General features: G+C 36.6%; 1 protein-coding gene and 1 pseudogene across 20 annotated transcripts in view, besides 1 other annotated feature; one reads left to right on the plus strand and one right to left on the minus strand.

Moving 5' to 3' along the window:
• ANAPC10 (anaphase promoting complex subunit 10) overlaps window positions 1-20,861 on the minus strand; it is a 103,997-nt gene that overhangs the window by 39,828 nt on the left and 43,308 nt on the right. The window contains exon 5 of one of the 20 annotated variants that reach the window (XM_047449505.1): window positions 972-19,378. The exons of the other annotated variants lie outside the window; for them this stretch is intronic. Within the exon in view, the coding sequence (XP_047305461.1) occupies window positions 19,325-19,378 (54 nt within the window). The 3' untranslated portion in view covers window positions 972-19,324. Of the gene's footprint in view, window positions 1-971; window positions 19,379-20,861 lie in introns of those variants that run through there. 20 annotated transcript variants of the gene reach the window in all.
• On the plus strand, window positions 730-1,034 carry RN7SKP235 (RN7SK pseudogene 235; annotated as a pseudogene).
• Window positions 7,054-7,103: a silencer, noted in NCBI's record as "silent region_15722". NCBI's record gives its function as "represses an Ori minimal core promoter by ATAC-STARR-seq in GM12878 lymphoblastoid cells {active_cell/tissue: GM12878}" and the evidence as "EXISTENCE:reporter gene assay evidence [ECO:0000049][PMID:35858748]".

A 20,861-nucleotide genomic window follows, 5' to 3' on the forward strand; every position in this document is an offset into this window, starting at 1 on the left:
ACATCAGACTGCAAGTTCTTTAGTTTTGGGACTCTGACTGGCTCTCCTTGCTCCTCAGCTTGCAGACAGCCTATTGTGGGACCTTGTGATTCTGTAAGTTAACACTTAACAAACTCTCCTTTATATATATATATATATATATGTGTGTGTGTGTGTGTGTGTGTGTGTGTGTGTATATATCCCACATACATATCCTATATATATTATAACAAGGATATGTATTATATATAATATCCTATATACAGGATAAAAATTATATGTATATAATCCTATTAGTTCTGTCCCTCTAAGAGAAACCTGACTAATACAGATGGTGATGCAGGTTCGACCCAGGGGACAGGGAAGGAAGGCAGGCTGGGTGGATGTGTGTTAGGCTGCAGTGCCGGTCTAAGGAAAATCTGATGAAACTGTCTGTCAGATGACTCAACGTCTCCCAGGAATGAGCCTGCTTTAGTGTCCCTGTTGTGCTCAGCCACTGACTGGGTCAGAATGTGGGAAGCATGGCCTTGGAACAAACATGGTGATGGATTTCAGAGAGCAGCAGCTGGAGCCATCAGTCAGTTACTGTTTGTGGGCAGAGATCTGAGAGGAACATTCTCATGGACACCTGTGGCGACTTTGTAATGTGTCAACTCAAGCTAGTCTAAAGTACATTTCTCAAGACTCCCTTACCCACAATTCTGGTTAGGTGAGACACAAGAGTTCTTTTCATGCAAGATTTGGAAAGCAGGATGTGAGGGCAATCCGGCTGCGACATCTGTCACCCCACTAATCACCAGAGTTGATTTCAGCTGATCTAGCTGGCTAGATTGGTATTAACTTCCTCCCTCACTGCTCTGTGTGCATCTCTCCCAAAGCTGTGTGCTTGGTCAAAGAGGACGACCCTCCCTAATAGAGGAGGACCACTCTTTGGTCAAGAATATACGAGTAGCTGTGCTTCCCTCACAGAATCCCCAAACAAGCTCTCAAGATTTTGGAGAGCAAAAGAGAGGCAGCAGCCATTTTATTTTTACATTCAAGACAAGCAGGCGCTTTTATAGATCATATACATTGTCATTATCTACTGCTTCACACCATTGTCATGGGGCAGGAGCCAGGCCTACAACTGACCCTCATTCCCTTAGATCTTCCTGCAGGCTCTCCAACTCCTAGGTCAGGTGAGTGTTTAGCTCTAAGAAAAAAGAAATCAACTTCTTCTGCAGGACACTTGTCACAAGATTGGAGGCAGTGAACATGAATGATTCCAGTTCATCTTCATGGGTTCCAGCCTGTGCTCATAGGTTCCAGATTGTTTTTGTTCCCCACCACTTTACATAAATCTTCACTTTCAACTTCCTGCCCTATGGACTTCACGCTCATCTGTTTACATCAGATGTGAAAACAACAGTCTTACAGAATTTATTTAACCAACTTCTACTTGGGAAAGGTAAAATCCCTGTAGTAAATCCCTTACTATACACCCCTGGTCTTCCTCAGCACTCTCTGCTTTTCTGATGGACCTTCCACTGGTAGCAGATGAGCTGGAAGTCCAGGAGGGATGTTACCCAGAAAAAATGTGGAACTGAGAGTTACGTATTGCTGTTTCAAGAAAGAGTTTATAATCTGTCAGAGAATTTAGACATATGTTGGTAACCAACATTTTAAAAATTAAGAAACAAGGTAAAGTATTAATTCCAGGAAAACAAAATAATGCCTAAAAAAAATTTAAGCATTAGGACATGGTATGATTCAGGCATAAAAATACTTATGCGATCATAATAATGAAAACATGCATAATGATTTCAGCAAATACCACAAAAACCTACACTAGTAAGATGAAGATAAGGGAAGTAGATGAGAGAAGGAATGGGATTATAGAGCTAAATCCTGATGTGTTATAGCAGATATGATTAGATCACAGCTTTAAATATAGATACGTACACGTTATTTAGAATTGTACACATCTAATACAGGTATCTACGTACATGCATTTAGAAATATGAAAGTAAATATTTCTACAATTTTTTAACAAAAATTGGCTAACATAGCTAACAGGATTGCTCCCAAAGAGTGAGGCAAGAGTGTGGGACAGGGTGAGAAGTATGATTGTTGCAAGTGCTACTGCAAATATTTCACACTATTTTTTTTAAGAGATTGGGGTCTTACTATGTTGTCCAAGCTGGCCTTGAACTCCTGGGCTCAAGCAATCCTTCTGCTTCACCTCCCAAGTAGCTGGTACTATAAGCATATGCCATCATACCCAGCTCTTTCACGCTTTTAACCTACATACATGTTTTACTGTAGTAAAAAGAAACATTAAATTACAAAAACTCAAAGTTAGTATAACTGAAAATAAAAAACTATGACTTAGTAAGTTAGCAAAACAAAAAAAGAAAGGCAGAAACTTAACAATACCAAGTCTAAACTACTTCGAGTTCAAAAACAAGCACTCAATTAATGCTGAGGTACATATTCACAGTGGTAAAACTATAAAGACAATTAAGAAAGTTAACATAAAAAGGAAGGATCATAGTTTTCCCTAAAGGGTAGGGGAAGGTTTGTGACAGGAACTGAGATACTCATAATGTTCTATTTCTTATACCAAATAGATAACGTGTGTGTGTGTGTGTGTGTGTGTGTGTGTGTGTGTGTGTGTGTATGTGTGTGCATGCATGAATGTGTGTTTTATGGACTCTGGAGAGCAGGGAAACACTAAGGACCCAACAGAAACTCCAGAACACAGTTGCGGAGCTCCTCATGCTATCCATGAGGTTTAGTTTTTTCCAAGTCCTTCATACTCCAGGTAACATCACGATTTGCTGCTACATGATATTGAAACGTATCTTTTATCTTAGAACAAAAATGAAACAGAATTGTATGTATGGCAGGTATGAGAAAATCTTATGCAAACATATAGAAATTTAGACTGTTCACATGTATGAGTAATTTTTAAATTAAAAAGTACACTATCATTCTATTACCATAATTTTTTAAATGTTTTATTATGCTGGCATGAGTCACTACACCCAGCCCTATCACCATAAATTTTAACAGTAAATAAATATTGAAAAGAAAGAAAGGTTAAAACTAGCCTTTAAGTAAACGTGTCAGAAATATATCTAAGAAAACAGGCTATTTGATATCATGCCACTGGATTACAACCCACTGAGAAACAGGTGGGGGCATCATAAATTCAAAATGCCAAAAAGTCACTATAAAACACTTTTTATATAAATCATTTAACTATTAAGTAAACAATTGCTTATTTAAAAATCCAGATGAAGGCGAGGCACAATGGCTCACACCTATAATCCCATGTCTTTCGGAGGCCAAGGCAGGCAGATCCCTGGAGCCCAGGAGTTTCAGAGCAGCCTGGCCAATATGGCAAAACCCTGTCTCTACAAAAAACACAAAAATTAGCAGAGCATGGTAGCATATGCCAGTAGTCTCAGCTACTCAGGAGGCTGAGGCAGGAGGATCGATTGAACCTAGAAGGTCTAGGCCCCAGTGAACCATGATTGCGCTACTGCACTCAAGCATGGGTGACAGAGCAAAACCCTGTCTCAAAAAAAAAAAAAAAAAAAAAATCCAGTTGAAGCAGAAAGATACATGGACACCAACCTACCTTTTAAACAACTGATAACAATGAAGCCTTTAAAAGGCCATTTTATGACTGGGCCTGGTGGTTCACGCCTGTAATCTCAACATTTTAGGAGGCGTAAAGGGGAGGATAGCTTGAGGCCAGAAGTTCCAGACAAGCCTGGCAACATAGTGAGACCCTATCTCTACAAAATAAAAATAAATAATAGATAAAAGGTCATTCAAAAGGACGGTTAAAAAGCTAACTAGGGCCGGGCATGGTGGTTCATGTCTATAATCCTCGCACTTTGGGAGGCCAAGGTAGGTGGATTGCCTGAAGTCAGGAGTTCAAGACCAGCCTGGCCAACATGGCAAAACCCCGTCTCTATTAAAAATACAAAAATTAGCCAGGCATGGTGGTGCACGCCTGTAATCCCAGCTACTGGGGAGACTGAGGCAGGAGAACTGCTTGAACCCAGGAGGCAGAAGTTGCAGAGTGCCGAGATGGTGCCACTACACTCCACCCTGGATGACAGAGTGAGACTCCGTCTCAAAGAAAAAAAAGAAGAAAAAAGCTAAGGCAGCCAGGCGCAATGGCTCATGCCTGTAATCCCAGCATTTTGGGAGGCCAAGGCAGGAGGATCATTTGAGGTCAGGAGTTCGAGACCAGCCTAACATGATGCAACCCTGTCTCTATTAAAAATAGTAAAAATTAGCTGGGTGTGGTGGTGAATGCCTGTAATCTCAGCTACTCAAGAGGCTGAGGCAGGAGAATCGCTTTAACCTGGGAGGCCAAGGTTGCAGTGAGCCAAGATCGCACCACTGCACTCCAGCCTGGGAGACAGAGTGAGACTCTGTCTCAAAAAAAAAAAAAAAAAAAAAAAAAAAAGGCTAACTAAGGCAAAACCTATAAGAAGCAGGCAACAAATTCAACAGATACTTCTGATGACGAGACATCACTTTCTACAGAGAAAAATAGGTCACATGCAAAGCATCAGAAATCAAAAGTGGCATTGTATTTCTCAACATTTACAATAAAAACAATGTCTCAAAAAAAAAAAAAAAAAAAAAAAAAAAAAAGGCTAACTAAGGCAAAACCTATAAGAAGCAGGCAACAAATTCAACAGATACTTCTGATGACGAGACATCACTTTCTACAGAGAAAAATAGGTCACATGCAAAGCATCAGAAATCAAAAGTGGCATTGTATTTCTCAACATTTACAATAAAAACAATGAGGAAGTGGAAAATGTGTTTAAAATTCTAAGGAAAATTATTTTCAAACTAGAATTCCACAGCTAAGCGATTCTTACTGCAAGGTTATCGCAATCCTATGTAGGTAATGAATAAGATGCACAATTCTGACTTCAATATAATCTAAATATGCTTTGTGGAAATGTGGAATTCTGAAAGAGATTGGGAAGAAAAGTAGTGTGAATTATATAGGAGTGGATGAAAGAGACATGATTAAGGCTGACTCCATTCAAGTTTTCTTGCTTTAGATTTTTCCTTTTCTATGAGATAATAATAAATAACAATAAACATTTTGGAAGCACTTTTTCTTTGGCAAGCACAGTTGTAAGAACTATAGATGTATTGATTTTTTTCCAGCCTTGCAATAGCCCTATGAGGTATACTCTTTTTTTTTTGTTTGAAACACAGTCTCGCTCTGTCGCCTGGCTGGAGTGCAGTGGCTAGATCTTGGAGCACTGCAACCTCCACCTCCCGGATTCAAGCAATTCTCCTGCCTTAGCCTCCTGAGTAGCTAGGACTACAGGCACGCACCACCACACCCACCTAATTTTTGTATTTTTCAGTAGAGACGTGGTTTCACCATGTTGGCCAGGATGGTCTCGATCTCTTGACCTTGTGATCTGCCTGCCATGACTTCCCAAAGTGCTGGAATTACAGGCGTAAGTCACTGTACTCAGCCAAGGTACATTCTTTTAATCTTCACTTTAGATACTAGAAATCTGAGGCTAACATTCCAAGGTTCATGGTTAAATGGCAGAGCAAGAATTCAAACTCCAGCAGATGACTCCAAAGCCCATGCTCTTGGATCTTTAACAACCCAAAGAAATAAACAGTTAGATGTAATGAAAACTCTTAATTTCATGAGATTATATAGAAAAGCAAACTATTGTATGCTTTTGTTTTAGTGTGTGTGTATGTGTGTGTGTGTGTGTGTGTGTGTGTGTGTGTGTTTTGAGACGGAGTTTTGCTCTTGATGCCCGGGCTGGAGTACAATGGCACGATCTGGGCTCACCGCACCTCTGCCTCCCAGGTTCAAACGATTCTCCTGCCTCAGCCTCCTGAGTAGCTAGGATACAGGCATGTGCCACCACACCCAGCTAATTTTGTATTGTTAATAGAGACGGGGTTTCTCCATGTTGGTCAGGCTGGTCTCGAACTCCTGACCTCAGGTGATCCACCCGCCTTGGCCTCCCAAAGTGCTGGGATTACAGGCGTGGGCCACCATGCCCAGCCTATTGTATGCTTTTAAGACCTATAAAAACATAACAAATTTTAATGGCTTTGCTCCTTTCAGCTACCATTCACTGAGCTGCTAGTATGTTCCAGGCACTTAAAACATTTGTTGCAATCATCCCAACATCATATCTCCAATTTATAGTTAATTTATAGGTAACTGAAGTTCATAGAAAGGTTATACAATCTGCCCAAGGGTCACCTAGCTAGTGACCTAGCTAGCCAGGATTTGAAAGTAATTACCCAACCAAAATCCTGAACATCACCGAAGTAATAACCTTAAAGTATGTATGTATGCCTAGAATAAAAATAAAAGAACATATTCTAAGATAAGTACAAGTGAATAAATACCGACAACTCAAAAAGCCATAATTCTACATATGCTATAAAGAGATGTGGAACTTTGAAGGGGACTGAGAAGGAAGAAACTAATTCAACTGGGTGAAAGTCTCATAATACTTATTGTTTTATATTATTAGTTAATATGCACAGAAATAATGCATGACAATGGGAACAAAGTTCTTACTACAGATCTACGCAGAGGTAAAAATCCAATATACACCTCCAGTTATATTAAAAAAAACAACTGAAGTAGCTCCCCAACCCAATGACCCACAAACACTTTGCTTGTAGGATCTATGACTTCTAGTGGTCCCATAATTCATATATAACAGATTTTACTTATAGAAGTATAAAAATTAGCCAAAAACCCACCTCATAATTTACTTTCAAAAGTGTTTAGCTAAATCTAGAACATCTGTCTAACAATAGTTAAGGTGAAATTTTACAAAATGAATATTTTGGAGTGAGAAGTAACAAATTTTATTTTACATGAATTTTTAAAATACTGAACTAACTCTATTACTTACAGCTTAGATAGCATGAAGTTTGACTTCATCTTGACATGAATAATCATCATTTTGAGAAAAATGTTTTAACTTGTTTCCAAAAATGATAATCATTGATAACTGAGGAGAAAAAGCAAAGACCGTTTTTGTTCTATTCACAAGTACCAACGAACAGCCCAGTGTGGAAATGGCTGTATGCCAGGTTGCCCTGTGAAGAATTAGGCTTCTTGGCAATCAAGAAACTCAGACATCGTAGGCCCTTAGAAAACTGACACATTAAGGACTTGGTGCTTTCACTTCCCCTTCTAGAAGGCATATGCAAGATATGTCTTGCTTAGATGACAATCTCTTCCATATTCTGGATTCAGTGAGAGAATAAGACAACTAATAAGAAGCAAATTGAGGAGCAAGAATCATTCATTGACTATTGGATCTATTGACTAAAATTTAATAACTGGTTCCAGATATACAGCAATATTATCCTAAATAACCACAAGAAACAATAATTAAAAGATTCATACAACAATTATGAAATGTAAACGTGCATCTGAATTTTGATCAAGAAACTCAGAGTGAAATTCAGAGACAAACAAACCTGAAATTATATCTTTATAAAAAATAGTCAAAATGGTAAAAACCCAGTTTCAGATATGTATATTTATTCCTTTATTAACTTCTATATAGAAAGTTAAAAACAAAAAATGTTGAATAATTCCAATAAACCTTTGGGGAGACTGTGGATCACAACATCCATTTTACCAAATTTTAACCTTAAGTTCCCTATTATCTGGTAAATAATTTTTTGTTTTGATGCTGTATGAATCTGAATGAAGGTTGAGACTGCCAACACACTAGACTACATTTCACAAGTTTGCTGCCTGTATCTAACGTGATACTCAGTAGCATAAGAGTAAAAATAAATGATATGAAACATAATCAAAAATTAAAAATTATTCTAAGCACCCATAAATATACTTCCTGAACGTTCCTTGATTATGTAGGGTCAGTTGAAAAATTTGACTAACTCATAACAATACTATCAAGAAGCCAACATACTTAAGAATCTGAATTCCAAGTGAAATACAAGACATTTATGATATTTTCAGATGTATAATCCAGCCAAGATATACTTTATAAATAAAATAGATTTTAAAGGGCAAACATCAATATTTAAATCAATCCTTCTTCACATATATCTTCAACAAAATTTCTCACCTTCAATACTTTCTAATTTCATTTTTTCATTATTTTATAGTATATAAATACACAAGCCTTTTCTCTACTTTTTTGATGTGCCAATAACATTAGTGCAACATATAGCCATGACAACTTATCCTATAAACAGAATCCCTCACAAATTGAAAAATATAAGAACCAACAAATGTTTCACTACACTCAGAAAACACAGAGTCTTTATTCCAAGAGGAACTTTCAGTAAAAAAAAAATGATGTGTGAACAGCAGACACTGATGTTCACACAAGCATACTGCAGACAACCCAGCAGGCGGTTTTCTGTTTTTTTTGGATTATGCTCTGGAGGTGCTGGCACAATGGAATTTCAATACCCTAACTGCTTATTTCTCTGTACATCTTTAAAATAACAGGTAAAGAAAAAATTGTCTAAAAAAAAAACAAAATAAAGTGTTTTTAATTCTTCTTTTCAAACGATGTAATTTATAACCATTACACAAATAGCGAAGAAGCACAAAAGAGGGGAAAAAAGAAATAAAGTAATGTTCCAAAGGTTCAGTTTACAAGGACCTCACACAAAGTTTTTTTTTTTCTCTGCAACTCTTACTAGAAACAGTATTATTTGCTAAAAATGCACTAGCTGCCAAGAGCTATGGTCCATCTAAAGCAAAATGCTTAAGATGGAAACAGTGTTAATACAAAAAAAAGAGGCAGGATTCAGTATACAAATTTCTGTAAAATCTATTAAAAAATAAGATGAAGTTTTGATTTTGATACATTATTTTGACTAAAAAACAATTCTAATTATAGATAAAATACTAAAATACATAGTACTGTATTAAAACAATAAGTAATCAAATTTCAAACTTTCTAATTAATCCTTTTTTTGTAAGTTATTGGGAATTCTACACTAGTCTTGGTTCACATGATAGAACAATGGGAAAATTTTCCGAATGGTTGAACACTAACCCTGACAAGTGTGGAGAGCCAACTACAATACATTATATGGTAGCATAACCTGCCACCCACGTTGCTGAGAGAACAGCTTTCAAACACATGCACTGAGCTGTAAAACCGCAAAATCCCTTATTACACATTGTCTTTCTTACTTTAGGTGAAATATACCATCAATTCTTTCCATTATAAATCTTTTTTTATTACTATTTTTGAAGACCATTTACAACTTGACTGTTGTTTTCTGACAAAGTAAAAGATGTCTTTTACAAAAAGAAAATGCAACAGGAAAGTTATCACCCTCCTACAGTATTACAAATGAAGGCTGATATCTGCTGCATAATTTCCCATAGATTAACTGGAGGATCCATATTACCTAAAATGTTTCCAGATAAAATTCTTTTTTTTCCCTTTGAAAACCAAACCCTTATACTAGAGTTCACCAAGTTTCTTAAAGCATTTGAAAATACTTGCTTTCTTTAATAAAAGCTGATATATTGCTTTGGGAAGTTCTTTAATATATAATTTTGATCATTACCAAAAAAAGAGAAAAACAAATTGTCAAAATTTGTTAGAAAGTAAATGTTCTTTCTCTCTTTCTATGTTTCTTCCCAACACTTTCCCCCTTCCTCCTGCACCAGCACAAATACAAACCTATACTAAAAAACAAAACAAAAAATAGATTCAAGGAGATAATGCTGCCCTTGACAGTATTTGCATTATATTGATGATACATGTAAATGAAGAAAGACTGAAGAATGGCAGCCACACATCATACTCATTATAGCAATGTGTTTGACAAAAATACGTTCTTACCTTTCAGAAAAGAGCTCAATGCAACAATGACTATCAAATCTAACAAAAGGGCTTAAGATACAGAACAAGGGTAAAAAAATGAAAAATTTAAAGACAGTACTTTTTAGAGATTCAAGAAGGTTAAAATCATTTCAAAAAATGTGTGTTTCTCTCTAACGTTTTGTCTGATTAATTTCCCTCCAAAATTCTCCTTTCTATCCTTTGCATTTCCTTCCCCCCAACTCCCACCCACCATGACCCACCTCCACCCACAGTCTGCTAACTGAATCATAGCATTCCAGGACAGTTACAGGACATAACAGTTTCTTCTGGGGTTTTCATTCGCAATGTTGTTTGCAAAGAGAATTTTATTTGTAAGTGTTTCTATTATACTGACAGGGTCAATTAGTCTTGTGAACTATTGGTCTTTCTGCCTGATAGCTTGGTGGATCATTCAAGTGGTACCGTTCATAACCTATAACTGAATGCAGCCAATTAACCTCAGAAACATGACAATACTGGCTAACTAATGGGCTTTTTAGTTTATCTTAGTGACACACTATAGTTAATAACACACTATAATTATATTACACTATAGTAATATAATTTCCCCCAAATTGGTGGTATATTATTTGATATAAATTATATTTTCCCCAAATTGAACTGATTTGTAAATTATGCCACATAAGTTGCACAGAGTAATTTTCATTTTATAGAAGTTCACTATAAACATTCGGAAGTTTTTTTTTAAAACAATAATCAGCTATTATGCCTACTTTTGCTTATATGTTTATACAACTAAATAAAAGAATAAGATTTCTCCCAAGATGCAGAAAGCACTAATACTCTCCAAAAGCTAATGTAAAAATAAATTTGCATTTTACTTCAAATATTCAAAAAAGGCTTAAGTTGTAAAATATTATTTATTTTTTTAAAAACACACCCAAAAAGAGAATTTGCATTAACTGACTGTTTACTATGTGACCAGGTAATGTGAATAAGTACTTTGCAAACTTTATCCTACTTAATTCTTTCTGGAATCCAATAAGACAGACATTGTTCACCTATTCTATATATGAGGAAACTGAGGTTTCAAAAGAGCCAAATATATCTCCAAGATTCACACAGCTAGTAAGTAGCAAAACTAAGATCTGAAACCAGATCTGTCTACTTTGCCAAACTGTGGTCTATCAACATCACTCGGCCTAAAAAAAATATGAGTAAATTCCCTGGTCATCTCCCCATGTCATCTTGTAAAACTGGATTACAGAATACTGCCAAGTTCCAAAGCCATTCTACAAAAGAATATCCAATTATTAATGATCAACAACTTGAAGGAGATTAATGAAGTAAAAGTTTACTAAGATACAATACTCCACTTTTTTTCATATCACTTCTAACCCAAATGCACTCTCACATATATGAATGTATACGTGATCTTCTACACACATGCTTGCATCCACATGTACCTGTTCACATACACACATACTCATCTAAAATGTCACACGTCAATACTCCTGATTTCCAAGGCTAAAGTACTGTCTGTCCATTATGCCAGCCCACAAAGAAGTAAAAAGCTGTCTTAATGCCATGGGTATCAAGGTATCAATTTCTTTGCAAAGAAGAATTTTTAAAATAAGTTGAATAACTTTTTCATACTGTAATTTTAAAAAACGATCTGATCTAATAAGCCAACTTAACATATGTTCTAGCAAAAATTATATTATGATTATCTATGCTTTTGCTTTATAAATTTTCAAACATAACTAATTTGTTCAATTGTTGGGCCAAACTGCCCTAAAAGCAAATGCCCTGTTACAGGAGCGCACCCTAAGCATTTCTAAAAATCCATTACTACTCTCAAATCCTCTGCCTTCACATTGGCTACAGTGACTTTCAGGGCTTCATTCACTGCTTAATGGAAAAGTCTGCAAAAATATTTGTGCAATTAGGATAGACAGCGCTTTCTTGAAAATACTGGCTTGGCTAAAAGTCATGGCAGTTAAGATGTATATAAATAACTTTTAAAATGCCCATTTATACTCCCTACTCTATAAATTTGTTCCTGTAAATATTGTATTTCTTTTTAAAAATACATCCTGCATAGAAAGTATAAGGGCTAAGAAGTAAAATTCAAAGTCATCCATATTATAAAGTCAGCTTTACTTTTTTAAATATAACAAAATAAATTCCATAAGCACAAACAATTTCAAGAACAGAGAACAAAATCAAAGGAAGTATCCACGTTAGTAAAACTATTACCTTAGAAAATATCTAATATTTTGACACAACGGATAAAGATGTGCTCCAGTATGTGAAGTTATTAGCTAAATACTAGGAAGCTTAAAATTGCTAAATTCTTGCTTTACATATGCCACAAAAAATAATGCCACTGATGCTGTAGTTTCAAAGAATTAAATCTGTATATCTACTCGAATGCCAGGGGAAATTTCATTAAAATAATTTTTTTAAAAATCCAAATAACCTACATAGGTTGTTCTCTCTGTCCAGTTGCAACAGAGAAAACACTGATATCGAAATGCCAAATATCAACCTTAAAAAAAACACTTCATGCTTAGATCTGATAGTAAGGAATTGAATCCAAGACAACCTATCCATTTTCCATAACTTGAGCATGTCTTAATATACATAAGACACATTTATCTAGCACTTTCCAACCTTGTACAGTCATGTACGAGTAAGGATAAAGCAAGCAGCCATTACAAAGCTAACAGAGAAAAGTAGTATGGATGGGCGTAAAGTTATATTGACTAAGAATCTATACATATTAGGTTCATGGTAGATGTTTTTACACTGCTTATCTAATTTTCACAACCACCCAAACAAGACAGGCATTGTAATTTTCATTTTTTAAAGTAAATAAACAGAGGCTCAGAAAAAACAGAGAAATTGTACTCTCTCTCAAGGAAGTGATAATACCAAGATTCCAACTCTGATCTGACAGGCTCCAAACCCCATGATTAAAGCAGCATGTGGCAAAGACAATCTAGAAACATGTTCCTTTATTTGGCTTAGGTCTCACCCTTCTGTCCTACTCTGAAAACAATATTTAAAACCCAGATTGCAGGTTATGAAACAGACTGGGTTTTTCCGTCTGTAAGCCAAGGTTAGAGAACTCTGCGTTCAATGGCGAGTACAATATGACTCTGGGGGAATATCAGCAAGTTTCAAATGACTATAACTTCAGGTTAAATGGAGTTCAGTGAGTCATGATAATTCCATGCTACCGATAATCCTGAACCTGGTCAACAGAAAAGTTTCAAATTTGAATTCCATATCTGCCTTAGACAATTCCCTCTCAACACAAGGCAAATCTTCATTCAAAATAAGTTTCTCAAAGTCAGGAACACTTCTCAATGCCTTTCATTAAATTTCCTCAGAGACAATTCCCTCTCAACACAAGGCAACTCTTCATTCACAATAAGTTTCTTAAAGTCAGGAACACTTCTCAATGCCTTTCATTAAATTTCCTCAGAGAAATGATAAAATTTTTAAATTGATGAGATTATTGTTCAACTAGATTTTACAAACTGGCTGACAGTAACTTTGACTCAACTTTTACCCTTTTATTATCTTAAATGTGAAGTGGCTACCTAAATACTAAGGTAGAACAGTGAAGGCAGAAAGAGATTTCTTCTCATTCCTCAGTCTCTCTTTATTCCCTAAAGTACCTTGCTTATCATATTTAGCCAGAGCTCATAACCTCTGGGCTATGATAAGAGGCAAATTAGGATTGCCCTATATTCCCCAAAGCTATATTACATTCCCTTTAGTCATTATTATCTTCTCTAAGATCACATGCTTATATCAGAAAGTAGGCTGCTAGAGTCGAATCAATTTTAGAACTAATCTGCCTTGGATTCTTTTCCTCAGTAAAGCTAAAACGGACGCCCCTCCACTATCTTTAAAATAAATATCAAAGGCCACTGCAGAAATAAATTGCACAAATATTAACTGAGCACCTATGTGGTAGGTACTCAGCTACATGAGTGATCAAGATGATCAAGACAGGTAATGTCCTTGTGCTAACCAAAGCCATCAAAGATTTGTGGGCCCTGAAAAGAAATATGCCATAATATGACAAAATAAATAACTGAGGGCCAAGATTAGTGTATAGAAATAAATATATACAATTGTTACCACATGGGTCACAAATTTGGTTCTAAGCTTCCTGACAGTCAACACGAAGTGGGTATCATTACTGGTTCTGACACAGTATAGAGATTCTTCTACTTACAGATTCATTTCCAAAGGGTCATCATTAAGTCTACTTAATCACATGTGTCGATTTTTAACTATAGAAGCAACTACTAATACCATCTACTGGTAGTTGACAGCGCTGACATATTTCTCCCCCAACCACCTCCCTCAATATAGGTCCATGGATACTAAGAAGAAATTCTATGAAAACAATTTTCTAAAACAATGCTGCCAAAGAATAATATTCAAAATTGCTAAAGAACATGTATGTTTTTCAAGCAGCCCCAATTTAAAAAAAAAAAGGAAATTCAACCATTGGAGGAATAGTCCAAAGATACAGGAATAACTGAAACTATCAGTATCTCAGTTATTTCTTATGCAAGTTTTGTGTGTAATACCTCTTTGCTCTAATTTATAAATAGGAAAATACAACTTTGAGATAAAGTTTTAAAGTTTTAGCAATTATATCTAAAATAAGTACAGGCATATCCCAGATACATTGTGGGTCTGGTTCCAGACCACAGCAATAAAGTGAGTATCACAATAAAGTGAGTCAGTCATACAATGTTTTGGTTTCTCAGTGCATATATTATGCTCACACTCTACTGTAGTCTATTAAGTGTGTAATAGCATTATGTCTAAAGAACAATGTACATATCCTCACAAAAAAATATTTTACTGCTAAAAATTGCTAACAATCCCCTGATCCTTCAACAAGTTGTAATTTTTTTTGGAGGCAGAGTATCTCACCTTAATGATGACGGCTACTGACAGATTAAGGTGGTAGTTACTAAAGGCTGAGGTGGCTGAAGCAATTTCTTAAAATAACACTGAAGTTTACCTCATTTATTCAATATTCCTTTCATGAAAAATATTCTCTGTAGCATGCAATGCCACTTAATAGCATTTTGCTGACAGTAGAAGTTCTTTTAAAATTGGAGTCAGTCTTCTTTTATCAACTAAGATGATGCAATATTCTAAATTCTTTGTTGTCATTTCAAGAATGTTCACAGCACCTTCACACACTAAAAACTACTTTCTTAGCTCATTTATGAGAAGCAACTCTTCACCTGTTCAAGTTTTATAATGAGATTGCTGCAATTTGGTCGCATCTTCAGGCTCCATTTCTTTTTGTTTTTTTGAGATAGGGTCTCTCTCTGTAGCCCATGCTGAAGTGCAATGGCATGATCATGGCTCACTGGAACCGCCGCCACCTAGGCTTAAGCAATCCTCCCACCTCAGCCTCCCAAGTAGATGGGACTACAGATGTGCATCACCACACTCAGTTAATTTTTTTGAATTTCTTTTGTAGAGATGGGGGTCTTGTTATGTTGCCCAGGCTGGTCTTGAGCTCCTGGGATCAAGAGATTCTTCCACCTCAGGCTCCCAAAATGCACCTGACCTTCAGGCTCCATTTCTAATGGTAGTTATCTTGCTGTTTCCACTACATCTGCAGTTACTCCCTCCAATGAAGCCTTCAGACCCTCAAAGTTATTCATGAGGCTTGGAATCAACTTCTTCCAAACTAATGTTAATGTTCATATTTTGACCTTTTCATGTGAATCACAAATATTCTCAGTAACATCTAGAATGGTAAGTTATTTCCAGAAGATTTTCAATTTGCTTTGCCTAGATCCATCAGATCATTTGCCACTATTTATGGCAGCTAATGCCTAAAGAAATGTATAAGACTTGGAAGTCAAAATTATTCCTTGATCCATGGGCTGCAGAATACATGTTGTGTTACCTCCTTGTACATCTCCATCAAAGCTCTTGGGTGACTATGTCCATTGTCAACAAGCATAGTGTTTTGAAATAAATCTTTTTCTCTGAGCAGTAGGTCTTTACAGTGGGATTAAAATATTCAGGAACCCATGCTCTAAACAGATGTGCTGTCATCCAGGCTTTGTTCTTCCATTTATAGCACATGGGCAGAATAAATTTAGCATAATTCTTAAGGACCCTAGGATTATTAGAATAGTGAGGGCTGCCTTCAACTTGAAGTCACTAGCTGCATCAGCCCCTAACAAAAGAGCCAGCCTGTCCTGTGAAGCTTTCAAGCCAGGCATTGACTTCTCCTCTCTAATCTTAGCTGGCATCTTCCAGTAGAAGGCTTTTTGTCTACATTGAAAATGTGTTGCTTGGTGTATCTACCCTCATCAACTATTTTAGCCAGATCTTCTGGGTAACTTCCTACAGCTCCTCCATCAGCACTTGCTGCTTCACCTGGCTCTTTTATGTTATGCAGATGGCTTCTTCACTGAAACCTCATGAACCAACCTCGGCTAGTTTCAAGCTTTTCTTCTGTAGCTTCCTCACCTCTCTCAGCCTTCCTAATATTGAAGAGAATTAGGACCATACTGTGGATTAGGCTTTGGCTTAAGGGAATGTTGTAGCTGGTTTAATCTTCCATCTAGGCTACTCAAACTTTCTCCATATCAGTAATAAGGCTGTATTGCTTTCTTATTATTCATGTGTTCACTAGAGTAGCACGTTTAATTTCCGTCAGGAACTTTTCCCTTATATTCACAACTTCGCTGTTTGGAGCAAGAGGCCTAGTTTTCAGCATATCTTGGCTTTCAACATGCCTTCTTCATTAAGCTTAATTCTTTCTGGCTGTTGAGTTAAAGTGAGAGATGTGAAACTCTTCCTTTCACTTAAATAGTTAGAGACCATCATCATTAGTTAGAGGCCTAATTGAATCAAGCCAATTAATTAGGTTATTAACTGGCCTAATTTCAATATTGTTGTGTCTCAGGGAACAGGAAAACACAATTAGAGAGAAAGAGATAAAAAAGCAGCCAGTTGGTGGAGTAGTCAGAACACAATATTTACCAATTAAGTTTGCTATATTATATGAGCATGGTTCATGGCGTCCCAAAACAATTACAATAGTATCATTAAGAATCACCGATCACAGATCACCATAAAAGATATAATAATAATGAAAAGGTTTGAAATATTGTGAGAATTACCAAAATGTGATAGAAACAGGAATTGAGCACAAGCTGTTAAAAAAAATGGTGCCAATAGACTTCCTTGACACAGTTGCCACAAAGCTTCAATTTGTAATAAAATGCAGTTATCTATAAAGTGCAATAAGGTGAAAAGCATAAAATGAGGTAGGCCTGTATAGTACTTAGTATACAATGAAAATGGATGCAGTAATTTTTAAAGAACTATTCTTTTTTTTCATGAATCTCAAAGAATTCATGAAAAATTCATGCAGTTAGAGGAATAAGCCAACAGCCACATAGTTATTATTGCATACAGTTATTGTAAAGAGACATTCTATATAAACTATATATATGGATTGGCCAGATTCACCATAATTAAGTGAAATGAGAGAAGGAGCCAACAGGACTTTGAAGAATATTATAATTTTCCTGAAAAATTTAATTTAGTCTAAGGACACTATCTATTAAATAATCGCAGAGTACCTTTTAGTCAACCTCAGAGGATTTCACATAGTCTGATTACTTAGGTTAACTCCTACAAAATTGAAAAACTGTATGTTAAAGAAAATATGATTTTAAGTAACATTTTAAAAAATTGGAGTGAAAAAAGAACTGCATCTTCTCATTTATACACGGAATCTAAAGTTGAACTCACAGAAGCAGGGAGTAGGATGATGGTTACCTGGGGCTGGGAGTAAGGGGGACAGTTGGGAGATGTTGGTCGAAGGACATAAAATTTCGGTGAGGCATAAGAAATAAGTTCAAGTCATCTACTGTGCATCACTATGAGTACAATTAATAATAATATATTGTATACTTGAAAATTGCTAAGACAGATTTAAGCGTTCACACCACAAAGAATGACATATATGTGAGGTATTACCTATGTTAATTAGCTTGATTTAGTCAGTCTACAATGTATAAAAATATCAAAACATCATTATAAGCACCATAAATATACACAATTTTCTGTCAATTTAAAAAACTAAATTTAAAAATTAGTAAAATAACACTAGCCTAACCAGTTTACAGAGGTGGAATCCGCGTATTTTCTAATTTTAGTTGTTCTCACAGATAAAATAGATATACTAATACAATAAAATAGTATTTTTGTTGTTACTGGTTATAAGTTTCAATTATAAATAACTATATTGATTTCTATTGTAAAATTAGGGAGGTTTTCCTATTTAAAAAAAATATCGGGGGCTGGGTGCGGTGGCTCATGCCTATAATCCCAGCATTTTGCGAGGCTCAGGCGGGCACAGATCACATGGTCCGGAGATTGAGACCATCCTGGGTAACACAGTGAAAACCCGTCTCAAAAATTAGCCAGGTGTGGTGGTGCACACCTGTAATCCCAGCTACTCGGGAGGCTGAGACAGGAGAAGCGCTTGAACCTGGGAGGCGAAGGTTGCAGTGAGCCGAGATTGCACCACTGCACTCCTGCCTGGGCAACAGAGCGAGACTCTGTCTCAAAAAAAAAAAAAAAAGGGATACTCATTTATTATAAAAATCACATTTCTTTAGCAGCATATATACAGTCTCAGGGAAGAAGTAGGAAAAACAGCAGTTGCCAGTGTACTATAAATACTATTATTATTTTAGCTAAGTGTGCCAGGCAAACCCTAAGAAACCTTATCCTGACTGATGAGGAAGAAGATTCAGAGAAGATTATATATTTTCAATATGAGGGACTTGCCCTTATGTTTTGTTTATGTAGTGGCAAAGAATGGGAACTTAGGAGATATATAAGAACCAGAACAAGAATTTAATCTTTTCATTATCAAAAATAAGTAACAGAAAATTCACATAGCTACTCAGGAAACATGTTAATTTGGAACAAGATTAAATCTAAAGACTTTAGGCTCAATAAAGATTAAAATAGATAGCTAACATATTATCTGAACAATTTCCCTACTATTGCCTCATACTTATGGTACCACTTAGTCTAAATCTAGATCTTTTCTCATGGTAAGTGCTTAGAAAGCTTCCTCTACGTACTGCCTCTGTCCTACTTAATTAAGTATAAGAAATCAAGACTAGCTGTAGGCCATCCAATTAGCTAATTATCATTATTAATTAGCTATCTAATTACAAAGTAGGCAACAGATTCTAAAAAAGTGGTGAGATGGCTAAGCTACGGTTTCTGTTTTGTACCATCAACTATAATTTCAAATACAAGAGGAAAGATTCCCAAATATCTACAAATCCTTGTAGGAAGAATTCTCTTAATTCCTTTATGAAGGAGAAATGGACACAGAAAAGTATGCATTGTCTTTTATTTGCAGTTTCTGCTTCAATATTCTCATTCCTTTATCCTGAGACTTGAAGATTCATTGATTCTTCATTCACATGTAAAACATGAGGCTGAAAAAAAAAAAAGGTTCCTGACTAGGCTCACCTCTATTAAGATATACTTTTAAATTATGATAAAATGCTTCAGCAGGTAGTTTCAGCAAGATTTACTGCAGCACTTTCAGCTGATTACTACTGTGTGTGTGTGTGTTTTTTTTTTAGATGAAGTCTCTCTCTGTCACCAGGCTGGACTGCAGTGGTGCAATCTCAGCTCGCTGCAACCTCTGCCTCCCAGGTTCAAGCGATTCTCCTGCCTCAGCCTCCTGAGTAGCTGAGATTACAGGCACTCGCCACCATTCCCAGCTAATTTTTCTAATTTTAGTAGAGATGGGGTTTCACCATGTTGGCCAGGATGGTCTCCATCTCTTGACTTTGTGATCTGCCCGCTGCGGCCTCCCAAAGTGCTGGTATTACAGGCCTGAGCCACCGTGCCCAGCCTGATTACTACTGTTTTAATCAGCAACATGTTAGTCGCCAGAAATATTTACGCAAAATTTACCACACCAGGCGCGGTAGCTCACACCTGTAATTCCAGCACTTTGGGAGGCCGAGGAGGGCAGATCATGAGGTCAGGAGATCGAGACCATCCTGGCCAACATGGTGAAACCCCGTCTCTACTAAAAAAAAAATATACAAAAAATTAGCCGGGCATGGTGGCAGGCGCCTGTAGTCCCAGCTACTTGGGAGGCTGAGGCAGGAGAATGGAGTGAACCCAGGAGGCAGAGCTTGCAGTGAGCGAGATCGCGCCACTGCACTCCAGCCTGGGCAATGGAGAGAGACTCTATCTCAAAAAAAAAAAAAAAAACTTACCACAGGATGAGGGGACATACTGAATAGTGTGTGTGTGTGTGTGTGTGTGTGTGTGTGTGTGTGCGCGCGCGCGCGCGTGCGTGCAGCGCATGTGTGTGTGTGTGCCTGTGTGTGTGCCTGTGTGTGTGTGCATGTGTGTGTGTGCATGTGTCCATGGAACTCAGGAAAAAGTGGTCAAGTATGAAAGAGGTCAGTAAATGAAGACTATAAGAGACCCCAGCCACTTGCTCAAGTTTATTGTTCTTTCTCCTTGTTATGTATCTACCCTCGCATCTATTTTATTCATTCTACACCATTCTGTGTCTTCCCGTATCTTATAGTTGTACTCTTCTACTTTATAACTTCAGTTTGCACATGGCCCTTCACCTTACCCACCCTTTTCCATATCACTATCTCTCAGTATCAGATCTTGCCGATGCTAACTTTGCTTCTGTTTCTTCTGAGTTAAATTTCTAAGGCAAAAAAAATTAAAAATAGAACTAACTTGTAATCCAGAAATCCAACATCTGCATATATACCCAAAAGAGCTGAATAAAGGATCTTAAGATAAGTGTACATCCACTGTTCACAGCACTACTATTCACATTAGGCAAGAGGTGGGAACAACCCAAGTGACCACTGAGAGATGAATAGATAAGCAAAATGAAATACATACCTTTTGCACCTGCTGAATATTCTTTGGTCT

The sequence above is a fragment of the Homo sapiens genome, chromosome 4 (assembly GCF_000001405.40).
Source record: "Homo sapiens chromosome 4, GRCh38.p14 Primary Assembly".
In the NCBI taxonomy this organism is placed as follows: Eukaryota; Metazoa; Chordata; class Mammalia; order Primates; family Hominidae; genus Homo; species Homo sapiens.